The sequence below is a fragment of the Homo sapiens genome, chromosome 4 (assembly GCF_000001405.40).
Source record: "Homo sapiens chromosome 4, GRCh38.p14 Primary Assembly".
Lineage (NCBI taxonomy): Eukaryota > Metazoa > Chordata > Mammalia > Primates > Hominidae > Homo > Homo sapiens.
The window spans coordinates 189110198-189127653 of NC_000004.12; the positions used below are offsets into that span (position 1 = coordinate 189110198).

At 39.1% G+C, this 17456-nt stretch overlaps 1 long non-coding RNA gene across 2 annotated transcripts in view; it reads right to left on the reverse strand.

Moving 5' to 3' along the window:
* LOC105377613 (uncharacterized) overlaps window positions 1-15978 on the reverse strand; it is a 29140-nt gene extending 13162 nt beyond the window's left edge. The window contains exons 1-4 of one of the 2 annotated variants that reach the window (XR_939633.2): window positions 15913-15978; window positions 14843-14951; window positions 14042-14185; window positions 4021-4366 (exon numbers count right to left, since the gene is read on the reverse strand). This is a non-coding gene — a long non-coding RNA (uncharacterized LOC105377613). Of the gene's footprint in view, window positions 1-4020; window positions 4367-14041; window positions 14186-14842; window positions 14952-15912 lie in introns of those variants that run through there. The other variant, XR_001741964.1, reaches the window with a different exon arrangement.
* Window positions 15979-17456: the final 1478 nt, after the last annotated feature.

Sequence of the window (17456 nt, forward strand, 5' to 3'; positions counted from 1 at the left end):
TTTTGCCCTTTCATTTTGGCAGTCTGGGTTAGATTCCCAACATATATATATATATGTATATAATTATATATACATATATGTGTTTAATATATGTATATAATATATACACCAGCCTACGTGTGTATATACATATATATGTATATACACCAGCCTACGTGTGTATATACGTATATACACCAGCCTACGTGTGTATATACGTATATACATCAGCCTACGTGTGTATATACGTATATACACCAGCCTACGTGTGTATATATGTATATACACCAGCCTATGTGAGTATATACATATATACATATATACACCAGCCTATGTGTGTATATACATATATATACCAGCCTATGTGTATATACGTATATACGTATATACACCAGCCTATGTCTATACACGTATATATGTATATACACCAGCCTATGTGTATATACGTATATATGTATATACACCAGCCTATGTGTGTATATACGTATACACATATACACATATAGGCTGGTGTGTATATACATATACACATATACACATATAGGCTGGTGCAGTGATTTTTCCCAGGGTGCTTCTTAATAAACAATGTGAAATCACATTCAACCTTTTTTTTACAACCTTTTGCTTCATGACAAGCATTGATGTGGCTTCTCTTCCAGTTGTTTCTCCTATTGATGGCAGACGGGGAAACACATTAGCTACAAATTGTGGTTAATAATAAACAGGACATTTTTCAGAAAAAAATCAATACATTTCAGTTCTAATGAAAAATTATATCTATGTATAGTCAATAGTAAGGAAACATGATCTAAGAAATCAAAACCAGGATCTGGGAAAAGAAAAGGAAGCCTCGGTAAGGATCCTTAAAGTGTGAGTTATCCTTGCCAGAGTTAACTAGGTCAGACCTTGTTCCATAATCCATCAGTAGGTGCATCGGAATTGTTTCTAAAACCCAAGGGGAACCTTCGAAAACTGTGTGGCCTTGGTGAAAAATCTCCACATGATGGCTTAGATGATCCACGTATCTGACTCTTCTCTAGGGGGAGAGCCTTCATTTTAGCATCTGTAACGGAATTTCAAGGACAAATTTTATACAGTGAAACTGAGTTTCTGAGAATCTGGGAATTCCCTTCAGTGATTAAAGGACATGTCACTTTACCAGATTATAAAATATTTGCATTTGGATATCAATGGTAGAAGAAATGAACTGTGAGCTTTTTTGGTTAAAAAAATGTATAGTAATATTTTTGGAAAAGTCTACTGTCAGCCTCTTGGGAGAAACTGTTACATTAATGAAACAAATGGGGGAGCAAAAGCTCAGTCATGCAAAGCTCAAAGAAACTTCCAGATCCCAGGTATTTCTGAATCAATTCCATTGCGGTTTGTATGATTCTGAATAGAATGACAACTGCAGGCAGTTAATATGAACTAAAGCCCTACAGGAAAGTTCAGACTGCCTTCAGCATTGTCTGCTTTCACACTTCCAATGATGCATTGATGATAGTAACAATGAGTGTGATCCAAAGTACATGATGTCTGCTATCAGCTAATAACAGAAAAGAGATAGAAAGTGAGACATAATAAAAACAAGTGCTTATGTACTCAAATAAGATCCTAGGAGTTCCTCTATTATAAACCATACACAAGGAAGCCCTGGTTTTGGCATTTGGGAGAAAGTAATGATAAAATATTCAAAACATTATTAGTACTGTTGACAGAAGCATTCGGCTCATATTTACTTGAATCTTATTTACTTTCAAACCGGGTCTTAAGAATGACTTTGTCTAAAGTGCTTTCTATGCAAGAGTAATGGCAACTGCACCTCTTGCTCAGAACCCGTTCCCCTAAGATAAACTTTTCAGGACAGTTGAAACTCTTGGAAAGAATATCAAGTCTTCACAATCTTCCAGGAAGACTCAGTGATAAGAAAAGTTAATGTTTGGTATTGTAAAAGTGTTGCTTATCAATATTCTTATATGACACTGTCTTCTTAATCAGATCCACAGGTTCTCCAGATATTCCCTGAAGCATAATGTAAAGTACTAAATAATGATGAGTTATAGAACTCTGGCCCTTGGGCCATTAGATAATTAATCCCTCTTTTTTTATCAGAAAAGGAACAGAAACCATCCATACATATCCTTCTCGTTATTTAGTAAAAATGCAAATTCTTTTTCATATGTGGACATACATCTCTAGTAAGATAACGAAACTGCTGCTAGAAGTGCAAACATGTCAACCTGTCAAATTTGGATCCAAATTTATTAGAGGAGGGATAAGATTGAGAAACCAGAACTGGATATCCATCCTGAAATCACAGAAGCATTTATTGGACTGAAATGCAAACAGATGGATAACAATGGATATTTAAAGAGTATTTTATCACACTCTCTATGTGAGCCAAATATTTTATCATACTCTCTATCTGAGCCAGATATTTTACAAACCACTTGGTGATCAACAGCCACATCCATCCTAAGTGAGAAAGTCACAAGGCTGCAACATAAATGTGTGCTCGTAAGAGTTTTGCTCCTCCATCACATCCCTGGATACAAGGAGAGGTTACTGAAGGTGGGATCCTGGTTAAACCCCAAACTGTGTCATCTGTATGATGGACCAACAAGTACGAGAACACGTGATGATGCCAATTTTCCTTTACAGATCCCAGGGTGGTTCTGCACTGTTGAAACGTCACATCCTTTCATGATAAACTTGCTTTACATCTTTGATGAATAGAGTCAGGCTTTTTTAGGAGTAAATATATCACATTTTCCTTATGTGCAATTTCAGTTACATTGCAAAATGTGTGCAATATTTTTAAAAAGATAGTTGTAGAAATAGCAATTAAGAAAGTTGTTTTCCTGTCATAAATAAGAATATTGATCGAGCAACTGTCACATTTAATTTTTATCAAGAGTTGCTATCTTTGTGGCCCTTTAAGAAAGACCCTGACTTTTTGTTAATAATTCACTTGTATTTAATGGTTTATAGACCTCATCAAATGTATATATTGCCTAGCAGAAGTTTTCCACTTATTTACTCATGCAGTTTTTTCTATAGTTGCATTTCTCATATGATGTTCTGTGTTTAATGTTTATTTTTGTATAGGTATATGAAGTGCTTTCCGAGATTAAAGCAGAATAAAAATGAACAAAGACTGCACTGGCACCATTTCATCCTGAAATGTATTTTTAAAATAGTGGAAGAAAATTATTTTCTCTTAGTATGAATTATGCATCTATTATTAATAAATGGCATTTAATAAATGACAGATATATAATTCAGAGTAATAAAAACATATTACTCTCTATGAATAAACTGTGAGCCATACCTGAGAATAATGGAGCCAAGTAACGGGCCACGTGCGTGAACCACAGGACTCCCTGTCCCAGGCCAAAGGCCCTGTTGCCAGCTCCCAGCTGCACCGATGCACGTCATTCAGCCGACCTTCCTACGCATGTGTACCCTTTCCCTTAATTTCAACCAGCAGCCGTGACAGCACTGTTTATCGCATAGTAAGCATTTCTACAAAACCTGTTACCCGTAGTTCTTGGGCTGAATAAAAATCATTTTAAAACAAGGAAACCAGAATATCGCATTACCCAAATTATTTTTGAAAGATAAAAGAGAAAGGTGATACTCAAATGTGAAAAACACCAGTTATAGGCATCTTTTTCTAAAATTTAGGTGTAAGGTCATTTCCTGAAAAGAAAATTGTTGGGTTTTAGATTATTCTAATGGAATATACTTGATAAGTATAAAACGTGTAATTTCTATGCTTCTTTCTTCAAACCATATACCTGTGTAAAATCACACTTTTGTATTATATTCAAGTGAAAAATATTGTATAGCTACAAACTTGATTTTATGTCTGCTTTTGAAGATCCAAAAAGTGGCATGATTTTTGATATTCAACATATATATGCTATAAAGATCTCAAAGCACAGTTTTAATTTTATCATGGTTTCTGTAAGTCCTATTTCATAAGAATAATATACTATGAAAGATGTTTCATTTTTCTCCTCATGTGAATTTTTAATGAACATACAATGAAATCTATTTCATAGGCTTAGAAAGGCAAATATATTGGAAGACTCGAGGGAATTAATTCTTCACCAACATTCCCCTGTGGATTCTGAACTGATTAAAAACAGATAGGAGAGTGGAACCGATTAAGAGCAGACACAACCTGGGCAGTCTCACACGGTGCTTCTGCACAGGAGCCGGAGAGGATTCAAACACAGCACCCGTTTGAGTAACAGAAGTTCTGGATATGAGGACGACTTGGTCCTGAAGCAAAAATGGGGTGTCTTCATCTTCTGTTGTAACTCGTACCTTCTGACTGAACTTACTTCAGGGAGCTTGAAGAAGAAAATTAACTGGGAAACTGTGGAGAAAAGAAAGACTTTTCCTTTTTTTTTTTTTTTTTTTTTGAGACAAAGTCTCGCTCTGTCACCAGGCTGGAGTGCAGAGGCGTAATCTCGGCTCACTGCAACCTCCACCTTCCGGGTTCAAGCGATTCTCCTGCCTCAGCCTCCAGAGTAGCTGGGATTACAAGCACGTGCCACTGCACCCAGCTAATTTTTTGTATTTTTAGTAGAGACGGGGTTTCACCATGTTGGCCAGGCTGGTCTTGAACTCCTGACCTCAGGTAATCACCCGCCTCGGCCTCCCAAAGTGTTAGGATTACAGGCATGAGCCACCACACTTGGCCAGACTTTTCTTTCTTAGCCTCTTTTATGGAGGCAGATGTACCTAGTATAGTCTGAGGTAGGAATTCAGGAAAGGGAAGAATGGAATTTTGAAAATTTTTTTCTGGTAGTAACTTTAATACAAACGGTGTAATAAAAACTGTTCTAGCTTTTTTTGTAATCACCTCACCAGAGAAACAGTAGAGTATAAAGATATCACATTCTAGATGCAGACTGAGCCTACATCCTGGTCCTGCTACTTGCTGTGGCAAAACTTCCTCATCCATATAAAACAGGGGTAATGATACTGTTGCTGTCACATCTAGAAAGCTCTCAATTATAAGACACAATTTTAAATACCACTGAAAAGGAAAACCACAGACAATGACAATACGACACAAAGCTCTCTTGATGGCACGAATTTCTATTCTGTGTGCCTATTGAAAAAATTAATTATACAGAGATCTTCTTAATCATATACCACTGCCATGTGAATATAAAAAAATTAAGCAAGATAAATTGGTTTAGATATTTCTAGGACTTCTTTATATGCAGATTCCAACTCTTCTAAATCAGCTCTTGATTCAGATTTGGCCGTGTCTAGCCTCTTCCTTACAGAGTCACCCATCGTGCTATGCACAGTGTGGGTAGAACAGCATTTCTCGGTAGAAACATATGAACCCCCTGAAAGGCACTGGTGCTGGGCTCTCAAGCTGGCTGCATACAATCAGCCCACATTTGACACTGCTTTAAGGGATGCGGCTGAGCATGCCTGCCTCTCCACCGCTCCTGCTACCAACCAACTCTGCGGCTCCTAAGGGTTAAAAGTAATTTCAAGAGTGTCCCTGGGATGTCCTCCTAGTTCACCACATCTGTTCGGCCCATTTGGAGGCTGATGATTTTTATGTCTTCACATGTGCGGGTGATAAATACATCTCCAAAGACCAAGCACCGTGGCTCACGCCTGTAATCCCAACACTTTGGGAGGCTGAAGCAGGAGAGTTGCTTGAGGTCAGGAGTTCAAAACAAGAATGGGCAACATAGTGAGATTCTGTCTCTGCAAAAAAAGACTTAGCTAGGCAAGGTGATATGCACTTGTAGTTCCAGCCATTCAAGAGGCTGGAGTGAGGGGGTTGCTTGAGCTCGGGAATTCAACACTGCAGTGAGCTATGATGGCATCACTGCACTCCAGCCTGGACGACACAGCAAGACCCTGTCTCTAGACAAAACTATAAAGGAAACCACGTGCGGTATCAGCGTGAGGAAAATGGTGAGAAGGAGGCAGGATTAACTTGCAGCTCCCACTTGGATGGACAGAGCAGCGTGTGGAGACTCACATCAAAAACTTTTGCTCCAAGAACTGCCACACAAACATATCAGGAAAGCCGAGAGAATCCTCAGAGCCTTTGAAAGTAGCAGCTTGCCTTTGAGGGCTGTGAGACCACCGCAAAACTGTGAGTGCCCAAAGTGTGAGGCGGGAATGTCCGCCCTGAACACACAACCTCACTGAGGAATCTGAAGGTCCAGATCACGAAAAAAGGATCAGACCTTACCTGGAGCTGAGATGAATGTAGAGACCCAAGCGAAACATAGGAGTAGAGGAGGCAGCGGGAAGAGCCCGTGGACACCCTCAGTCCCCAGGGAAGCCGTTCTGACTCTGTCTCGCAGGGATCTTTGGGGAGGGCTGATAGTGGAATTGGGGAAAGACCACAGGGAGAAGGAAACTCCCAGATAAACTTTGTAACAATTTTGAGCAACTTGAAATTTCCTGGACAGAATCTGGTGATGGGGGGAGCCAGGAGTGCAGATCCCAGCACAGAAGCTGTGGCAGGCGGGGAGGCCGGAAACACGGAAGCCCTGCTTGCTTTCTCAGGGAAGGGGCTGGTAGCCTGGGACAAGTTCTTAGCCCTGCTCCCCGGCTGCCTGGAAATAAACGCAGTGCTGTTGGCGGGGCATGGTGGGAAGGAGACTGGCCTCGCAGGCTGCATGGGAGCTGGGTGAGGCCTGTCACTGGCAGCTTTCCCCCACTTCCCTGGGGACCTGTACAAAGCAGCAGAGGCAGCCATAATCCCCCTCGGAACATAACTCCACTGGCCTGAGAACTATACCCCAACTCCCACAGCAGCCACAGCAAGCACTGCCCAGGGAGATTCTGACTCAGACATGTCTACCTGTACCCCGCAGCTGATGGTCTTTCTCTTCCCACCCTCGTAGCTGGAGACAAGACAAAGAACATAATCTCTTGGGAGCTGTATGGCCCTGCCCACCACCTGAAAAACCTGAATACTTATCCAGACAAGCTTAGGGCAAGCTGGTATCCTCCCCCTCCTACTTCAGCTGATGCTGTCTGGAAAGTGCCCGCTCCTAGTCTGAGGCCCGGACGACAAAAACCAGCACACTAGACAAAACTACAGCCACCGGCCCTCACAGAGTCCACTTTGCTTCCTTGCTACCTCCACTGGAGCAGGTGCTAGTATCCAAGCCGACAAAATTCCAGCACACTAGACAAAACTACAGCCAATGGCCCTCACAGAGTCCACTTTGCTTCCTCGCTACCTCCACTGGAGCAGGTGCTGGTATCCATGGCTGAGAAACCTGAAGACAGGTCACATCACAGAACTCTTTGCAGACAACCTCCAGAACCAGCCTGGAGCCTGGCAGCTCTGCTGGGTAGTTAAACCCAGAAGAGAAATAACAATCACTGCAGTTTGGCTCTCAGGAAGCCCCATCCCTAGGGGAAAAGGAGAGAGCTCCATATCAAGAGCGCACCCTGGGGGACAAAAGAATCTGATCAGCTGCCCTTGAGCCCCAGATCTTCCCTCTGACATAGTCTACCTAAATAAGAAGAAACCAGAAAAACAGTTCTGGTAATATGACAAAACAAGATTCTTTAACTCCTCCATTAGATCATACCAGCAATGGATCCAAACTCAGACAAAATCTCTGAATTGTGAGAAAAAGAATTCAGAAGGTTGATTATTAAGCTAATGAAGGAGGCACCAGAGAAAGGTGAAGTCCAGCTTCAAGAAATCAAAAAAATGAGACACGATATGAATGGAAATATCTCCAGTGAAATAGACAGCATAAAAACAATCACAACTTCTGTAAATGAAGAACACACTTGGAGAAATGCAAAATGCACTGTAAACTCTTGAACAAGTAGAAGAAAGACTTCAGAGCTTGAAGACAAGGTTTTCAAGCTAACCCAATCTGAAAAAGATAAATAAAAAGAAAATGAACAAAGCCTCCAAGAAGTTTGGGATTATGTTAAACAACTAAACTTAAAAATAATTGGTGTTCCCAAGGAAGAAGAGAAATCTGCAAATTTGGAAAACATGTTTGAAGGAATAATTGAGGAAAACCTCTCAGCCTTGCTAGAGATGTAGACATTCAAATCCAAGAAGCTCAAAGAACACCCAGGAAATTCATGACAAAAAGATCATCACCTAGGCACATCGTCATCAGGTTATCCAAAGTCAAGACCAAGGAAAGAATCTTAAGAGCTGTGAGACAAAAGCATCAGGTATCTTATAAAGGAAAACCTATCAGATTAACAGCAGATTTCTCAGCAGAAACCCTACAAGCTAGTAGGAACTGGTGCCTATCTTCAGCCTCCATAAACAAAACAATTACCAGCCAAGAGTTTTGTATCTAGTGAAACGAAACTTTATAAATAAAAAAAGATAGTCTTTTTCAGACAAACAAATGCTGAGACAATTTGCCACTACTAAGCCAGCACTACAAGAACTGCTAAAAGGAGCTCTAAATCTTGAAACAAATTCTCAAAATACACCAAAATAGAACCTCCCTAAAGCATAAATCTAAAAGGACCTATAAAACAGTAATACAATGAAAAATAAGCACGATATTGAGGCAACAACTAGCACGATGAATAGAATAGTATCTCACATCTCGATACTAATGTTTAATGTAAATGGCCTAAATGCTCCACTTAAAAATGCTCCATTTAACAACAACAACAAAAAAAACAGAATTGCAGAACAGATAAGAATTCACCAACCAAATATCTGCTGTATTCAAGAGAATCAACTAACACATAAGGACTCACATAAACTTAAGGTAAATGGGTGGAAAAAGATATTCCATGCAAATGGACACCAAAAGCGAGCAGGAATAGCTATTCTTACATCAGACAAAACAAACTTTAAAGCAATAGCACTTCAAAAGACAAACAGGGACATTATATAATGATAAAAAGCCTTGTCCAACAGGAAAATATCACAATATCACAATCCTAAATATATATGCACCTTACACTGGAGCTTCCAAATTTATAAAACAATTACTACTACACCTAAGAAATGAGATAAACAGCAACACAATAATAGTTGGGGACTTCAATACTCCACTGACAGCACTAGACAGGTCATCAAGACAGAAAGTCATCAACAACGAAACAATGGACTTAAACTATACCCTAGAACAAATGAACTTAACAGATATTTAGAGAACATTCTACTCAACAACTGCAGAATATACACAGTACTCATCCATTTTCCAAGACAAAACACATAATAGGCCACAAAACAAGTCTCAATAAATTTAAGAAAATCAAAATTACTCTCTCAGACCACAGTGGAATAAAATTGGAAATCAACTCCAAAACGAACCATCAAAACCATATAAATACATACAAATTAAATAATCTGCTCCCACATGGTCATTGGGTCAACAATGAAATCAAGATGAAAATTAAACATTTCTTTGGACTGAATGATAATAGAGATAACAACCTATCAAAACTTCTGGGATATGGAAAAAGGAGTGCTAAGAGGAAAGTTCAAAGCATTAAGAGCCTTCATCAAAAAGCTCAAAAGAGCACAAATAAACAATCATAGGTCACACCTCAAGAAACTAGAGAAATAATGAACCAAACCCAAACCCAGCAGAAGAAAAAAATAACAAAGATCAGAGCAGAACTAAAGAAAATTAAAACAAACAAACAAAAAATACAAAAGATAAATAAAATGAAAGGCTGATTCTTTGAAAAGATGAACAAAATTGATAGACCATTGGTGAGATTAACCAAGAAAAAAAGAGAGAAGATCCACGTAAGCTCAATTAGAAAGAAAATAGGAGATATTACAAACAATACCACAGAAATCATTTAAGGCTGGATGATCATTTAAGGGTACTATGAACACTTTTATGCATACAAATGAGAAAAACTAGAGAAGAAGGAAAAATTCCTGGAAATATGCAACCCTCCTAGATTAAACCAGGAAGGAATAGAAACTCCGAACAGACCAATAACAAGCAGCAAGATTAAAATGGTAATAAAAAAAATTATGAAGGAAAAAAAAGTCCAGGACCAGACGGATTTATAGCTGAATTGTATCAGGCATTCATAGAAGAGTTGGTACCAATCCTATTGACACTATTCCAAAAGATTGAAAAGGAGGGAATCCTCCCTAAATCGTTCTGTGAAACCAGTATCACCCTAACACCAAAACCAAGAGTGACATAACAAAAAAGAGAACTACAGACCAATATCCCTAATGAACAGAGATTCAAAAACCCTCAACCAAATGCTAGTTAACTGAATCCAACAGCATATCAAAAAGATAATCCACCATGATCAAGTGGGTTTCATATGAGGGATATTGGGATGGTTTAATATACAAAAGTCAATAAATGTGATACATCACATAAACAAAATTAAAAATAAAAATCAAATTATCATTTCAATGGATACAAAAAAAGCATTTGACAAAATCCGGCATCCCTTTATGAATAAATCCCTCAGCAAAATTGGCATAGAAAGGACATACCTCAAGATAATAAAATCCATCTATGACAAACACACAGCCAATATTATACTGAACAGTGAAAAGTTGGAAGCATTCCCCTTGAGAAACGGAACAAGACAAGGATGCCCACTTTCTCAACTTTTATTCAATGTAGTAATGAAAGTCCTAGCCAGAGCAATCAGACAAGAGAAGGAAATAAAGGGCATCCAAATTAGTGAAGACGAAGTCAAACTGTTGCTGTGTTGTTGTTCACTGATAAAATGATTGTATACCTAGAAAACCCTAAACACTCCTCCTAAAAGCTCCTAGAACTGACAAATGAATTCAGAAAAGTTTCAAGATACAAAATTAATACACACAAATCAGTAGCACTGTTATATACCAAAACAAATAAAAAAACTCAACTCCTTTTACAATAGCTGCAAAAAATAAAAATAAAAATGCAGAAATATATCTAACCAAGAAGGTGACAAACCTCTACAAGGAAAACTACAAAACATTGTTGAAAGAAATCACAGATGACACAAACAAATAGAAACACATCCCATGCTCATGGATGGGTAGAATCAATATTGTGAAAATGATCATACTGCCAAAAGCAATCTACAAATTCAATGCAATTCCCATCAAAATACAACCATCATTCTTCACAGAGCTAGAAAAACAATCCTAAAATTAATGTGGAATGAAAAAAGAGCCCACATAGTCAAAGCAAGACTAAGCAAAAAGAACAAATCTGGAGGCATCACACTACCTGACTTCCAAGAGTACTATAAGGCCATAGTCAGCAAAAAGCATGGTACCGGTATAAAAATAGGCACATAGACCAATGGAACAGAACAGAAAACCCTGAAATAAAGCCAAATACAACAACTGATCTTTGACAAAGCAAACAAAAACATACAGCGGGGAAAGGACACACTAGTCAACAAATGGTGCTGGGATAATTGGCAGCCACATGTAGAATGAAACTGGATCCTCATCTCTCACCGTATACAAATATCAACTCAACATGGATTAAATACCTAAATCTAAGATGTGAAACCATAAAAATTTGAGAAGCTAATATCGGAAAACCCTTCTAAACATTGTCATGGGCAAAGACTTCATCACCAAAAACCCAAAAGCAAATGCAACAAAAACAAGGATGAATAAATGGCACTTAAACTAAAAAGCTTCTACACAGCAAAGTAAATAATCAGCAGAGTAAACAAACAACCCACGAAGTGGGAGAAAATATTTGCAAACTATACTTCTGATAAAGGACTAATACCTCATCAAAAAGTGGGCTAAGGACATGAACAGGCAATTCTCAAAACAGGATGTACAATTGGCTAACAAACATATACAAAATCCTCAACATCTCGGCTGCACGTGGTGGCTCAGGCCTGTAAACCCAGCACTTTGGGAGGCCGAGGCGGGCAGATCACGAGGTCAGGAGATCGAGACCATCCTGGCTAACACGGTGAAACCCCGTCTCTACTAAAAACACAAAAAATTAGCCGGGCGTGGTGGCGGGCGCCTGTAGTCCCAGCTACTCGGGAGGCTGAGGCAGGAGAATGGCGGGAACCCCGGGAGGCGGAGCTTGCAGTGAGCCGAGATCGCGCCACTGCACTCCAGCCTGGGCGACAGAGTGAGACTCTGTCTCAAAAAAAAAAAAAGCTCAACGTCTCTAATTATCAGGGAAATACAAATCAAAACCACAATGAGATACCACCTTACTTCTGCAAGAATGGCCTTAATCAAAAAATAAAAAAGTAATAAATGTTGGTATGGATATGGTGAAAGGGGAACACTTCTACGCTGCTGCTGGGAATGTAAACTAGTACAGCCACTATGGAAAACAGTATGGAGATTCCTTCAAGCACTAAAAGTAGATCTACCATTTCTTCCAGCAATCCCACTATTGGGTATGTACCCAGAGGAAAGAAGCCATTATACAAAAAAAGGTACTTGTACACACATGTTTATAGCAGCAGAATTCACATTGCAAAAATATGGAACCAGCCCAAATGCCCATCAGTCAACAACTGGATAAAGAAAATATGGTGTGTATATATCATGGAATACTACTCAGCCATAAAAAGAAACAAAATAATGGCATTCGCAACAACCTGGACGGAATTGGAGACCATTATTCTGGGTGAAGTAACTCAGGAATGGGAAAGGAAACATCGTATGTTCTCACTCATAAGTGGGAGCTAAGCTATCAGGACACAAAGGCATACTAGTGATACAATGGACTTTGAGGACTTGAGGGAAACGGTGGGAGAGGGGTGAGGGATTAAGGAGTACACACCGGGTACAGTGTACACTGCTCAGGTGATGAGGGCACCAAAATCTCGGAAATCACCACTAAAGAACTTATCCATGTAACCAAACACCGCTTGTTCCCCCAATACCTATTGAAATAATAATATAATAATAATAATAATAAACAAAAGCAAACAAACAAATAGTACCTCAGTTTCTGCCTCATGGATAGGGATTGTCAGAAGTCATCTATTTTAGAACATATCCTAATTTTAGAACTGTTAAAATATGAAAAACTAAGCATCATAGAACTGAAAGAAAATAGTAGGGTTGCTATGTAGATTTATGTGAGTTAAAACAACCAAACACCTCAGCACAGCGGCTGGCCCAGTGTCATCACACACCAACTATGATCAGTTACTCTTACTCCCAGCTAATCTAGCACAGGCTCATGAGCTCCAGTTGGTTACTTAATTTACAGAAATTCTACTCCACAACTCTTGTATTTTTGACTCCTTAAAATGAAGTTAAGTGCTTTTTATAAAAAAAAAAATGTTAAATGCTTAATAAATCTCTCCAGTCAAGGATTTCTGTTTTCTTGATTAAACCAATGGTTCTTTGAAAAAGAAGTCTAGGGAGCATCAGCAGCAGTGTTCTAACAAGCCCCACTGAAGGTGTCCGTAGAATTATTATGGCACTCATGAAAGTGTGGATTTTATAAAGACAGAATTGCCCAGCCTTTCCCTAATGTGATCTACAGACCAACCTGTGGAAAAATGAAACAGATTTACTCTACAGTAATGCTTAGCCATTCATAATTTTCTGGAACTGAGGTCTGAGAACATGTTTCTCAGTGGGTCAGTCACTTTGTTTTTCTTTTCTTTTCTTTTTTTTTTTTTTGAGACAGAATCTTGCTCTGTCACCCAGGCTGGAGTGCAGTGGTGTGATCTCCGCTCACTGCAACCTCTACCTCCCAGGTCCAAGCGATTCTCCTGCCTCAGCCTCCTGAATAGCTCGGACTACAGGTGCCCGCCACCACGCCCGGCTAATTTTTCTATTTTTAGTAGAGAGGGAGTTTCACCTTATTGGCCAGGCTGGTCTCAAACTCCTGACCTCATGATCCGCCCACCTCGGCCTCCCAAAGTGCTGGGATTACAGGTGTGAGCCACCGCGCCCGGCCACTTTGTTTTTCACATACTGAGAAGAGACGATGCACTCCCATGAGACATCTTCCACACCCAAGAGCAGAAAGGACAGCCTTCAGGCTGGTGGCTGAGGTTCACTTCTATTTATAACAGCATTTTAAACAACATAAGCTTATGGTTTCATAAAACTAGAAGAATATACCTGAAAATAGATTTCTGAAGTTTGATTTCACTTCATAAATTCACCTTCCATTGACGCTCCAGTGCATTTCAATCCACATCGCTGCAACGATGAAGGAGCGCTGCCATCTGCAGGCGCAGACCGACTAGAGCAACAGCTCAAAACCTAAAATACCCGCGTGTCCAGAATTTAAATGAGAAATATTTTGTTAAAACAGTATCTTAGCAAAGGGAAATAGCTTATAACGGAACAATCTTTTAGAGGCAAAGCTTTCGTCTGTTGCTTTACTCTCTTATTAAATCATTTATCCAAAATATGTGAGACCAATGAGGTATGTTTATTTATGCATAATATGCTGAAGTTTCAAAACACTGATTTCCCACAGGGTAGGAAACCATGTAGAAATAATATGTGTGGCTTTCTGGTTTGTTTTCTAAGAGCAGCACACTGAAATGTAAAAGCAACTGTGTTTGTACAATAAACAGGAGTCTTCTTTCTCTCCTAACATAGCAAAGAAAGGAAAAAGGTGTTATTGCTAAAAGAAAATACACAAAGTAAGAATCCAATACTAACCCTCTACTAAAGTATTTCCTTATTTATAAAAAAGAAATGGTTCCCATGCATTTCTCACAAATGCATGTTTTCAGTGGATCAGCAAGATGTCCAAACAAGAAATACCACCCTGTGGAAAAGCTGTGCCTATGGTATTTCTGACGTACCAATGCCAAAAAGTGGCTTTGGCCTGATTCCTCTTTCCTATGATCTCAGGTTGTATTTCCAGATAAAAGAGATTCAGTTACATTTGGAAGTGAGAAGAAATACCTGGAATTTATCCCCCCCAACTCGCACTGCGGCATTCTTTGGTCTTAGTCCAGGTATTCAATTCCACTTTCCTGCTCTTGGACCCTGTTGATCCGGGAAGAGGGTGGGCCTAGAACAAAAAAAAAAAAAAAAAAGATTTGGTAAAAACTGAGTGGATGGAAGAGCTGAGGCACACATTACCTCTTAGAACAATAGAAATGATTTCTTCAATAATTGTTTTGATAACTGGGCGGCCTGTCCACGCATTCATCTCAGTGAAGTTTTCCCTGATAGCCTGTTTTAAATTGATCATAGTTTTTCTTCATGATGCACATCCTGCCCTTTCCTTCCTCAGTATCACTCACAGAGCTAAAGGATATCCATGTCTCAAATATTAAAAAGCATGAACCAAGAGTTCTAAAATGATAAATTATGTGTCAGTGCAGCAAATGTATCGCTAGGCTCAAAAAACCCTATGAATGAATTAAATTTCTAACAATGCCTACTGTTTATTAGAAGCTTTACACCAAGGCTAATCAGTATTTCTGTAAATATATGATAGACAGGAGGGTTACTAATTACATTTTTCAGAAAGAGAATCAAGGTTGCATGATCAAGTCTATTTGTGGCATTTGACTCCACGTCAGCTTTGAGGGCAGATACAGGGTAAATCTAGGCATGATCGCTGTTCACTGTCAGTGAGTCCCTGGGAGAAAAGACAATCTGGGAGGGAAAACAACCAAGAGATGATTCTGATAGCATGAGTTTCTTAACTGCATTTAGACACTGATGCTTCCAATTCATATTTCTTCCGGAAATCCTATGGTTGTGAAGCAATCTATCACATTATGTTTTCTTTCCAATTTGTATTTTTTAAATTTAACTTTTATTTTAAGGTCAGGAGGACATGCGGAGGTTTGTTTCATAGGCAAACTTGTGTCATGGGAGGTTGTTGTACAGATTATTTCAGCACCCAGGTATTAAGCCTAGTACCCACTAGTTATTTTTCCTGATACTCTCCCTCCGCACCCTCCACCCTCTGATAGGCTCCAGTATCTGTTGTTTGTCTCCTTGGGTCCATGAGTTCTCACCATTGATCTTCCACTTGTAATTGAGAATAGGCAGTATTTAGTTTTCTGTTCTTGCGTTAGTTTGCTGAGGATAATGGCCTCCAGCTCCATCCATGTTTCTGCAAAGGAGATGATCTCATTCTTTTTCATGGCTGCATAGTATTCCATGGTGTATATGTAACACATTTATTTTATCAATTCTAGCATTAATGAACATTTAGGTTGATTCCATGTCTTTGCTATTGTGAATAGTGTTACAATGAACATATGTGTGCATGTGTCTTTATTATAGAATGATGTGTATTACTTTGAGTGTATACCCAATAATGGGATTGTTAGGTCAAATGTTAGTTCTGTTTTTAAGTCTTTGAGGAATCACCTTTATCTTCCACAATGGTTAAACTAATTTATACCCCCATCAACAGTGTATAAGCATTCCTTTTTCTCTGCAATGTCACCAGCTTCTGTTATATTTGACTTTTTAATAATAGCATATTAGTCTGTTCTCTCACTGCTATAAAGAACTACCTAAGACTGGGTAATTTATGAGGAAAAGAGATTTAATTGGCTAATGATTCCACCAGCTGCACAGGAAGCCTGGCTGGGAAGGCCTCAGGAAACTTACAATCATGGTGGAAGGCGAAGGGGAAGCAGACACACCTTCACCTGGTGAAGCTGGAGAGAGAGAGAGTGAAGGGGGAAGTGATACAAACAACCAGATCTCATGAGAACTCACTCACTGTCATGAGAACAGGGAGGAGGAGTCCACCCCCATGATCCAATCACCTCCCACCAGGCCCCTCCCCCAACACTGAGGGTTACAACTTGCCATGAGATTTAGGTGGGGACACAGAGCCAAACCATATCAAACAGCCATTCTGACTGGTGTTAAATGGTATCTCATTGTGGTTTTGATTTGCATGACTCTCACGATTGGTGATTTTGAGCTTATTTTCATATGATTGTTGGCCATATATATGCCTCCTTTTGAAAAGTGTCAGTTCATGTCCTTTGCTCACTTTTTAATGGAGTTGCTGGGGGGTGTTTTTTGTAAATTTGTTTAAGTTCCTTATAAATGCCAGATATTAGGTTTTTATCAGAGGCATATTTTACAAAATTTTTCTTCCATTCTGTAGGATGTCTGCTCACTATGTTCATAGTTTCCTTTGCTGTGCAGAAGCTAACAAGTTTAATTAAATCCCACTTGTCATTTTTGCTTTTGTTGCAATTGCTTTTAGTGTCTTTGTCATGAAATCTTTGCCCATTCCTATGTCCAAAATGGTATTGCCTAGGTTGTCTTCCAGTGTTTTTATACTTTTGGGTTTTATTTTTAAGTCTTTCATCCATCTTGAGTTAATTTTTGCATATGGTATAAGGAAGGGGTCTAGTTTCAATCTTTTGCATATGACTACCCAGTTATCCCAGCATGATTTATTGAATAGGGAATTTTTCCCCCATTGCTTGTTTCTGTCAGCTTTGTTGAAGATCATAGTTGTAGGTGTGCAGCCTTATTTCTGGGTTCTCTATCATATTATTTCAAAATCTTCTTGATTCTCTCTTTTCTG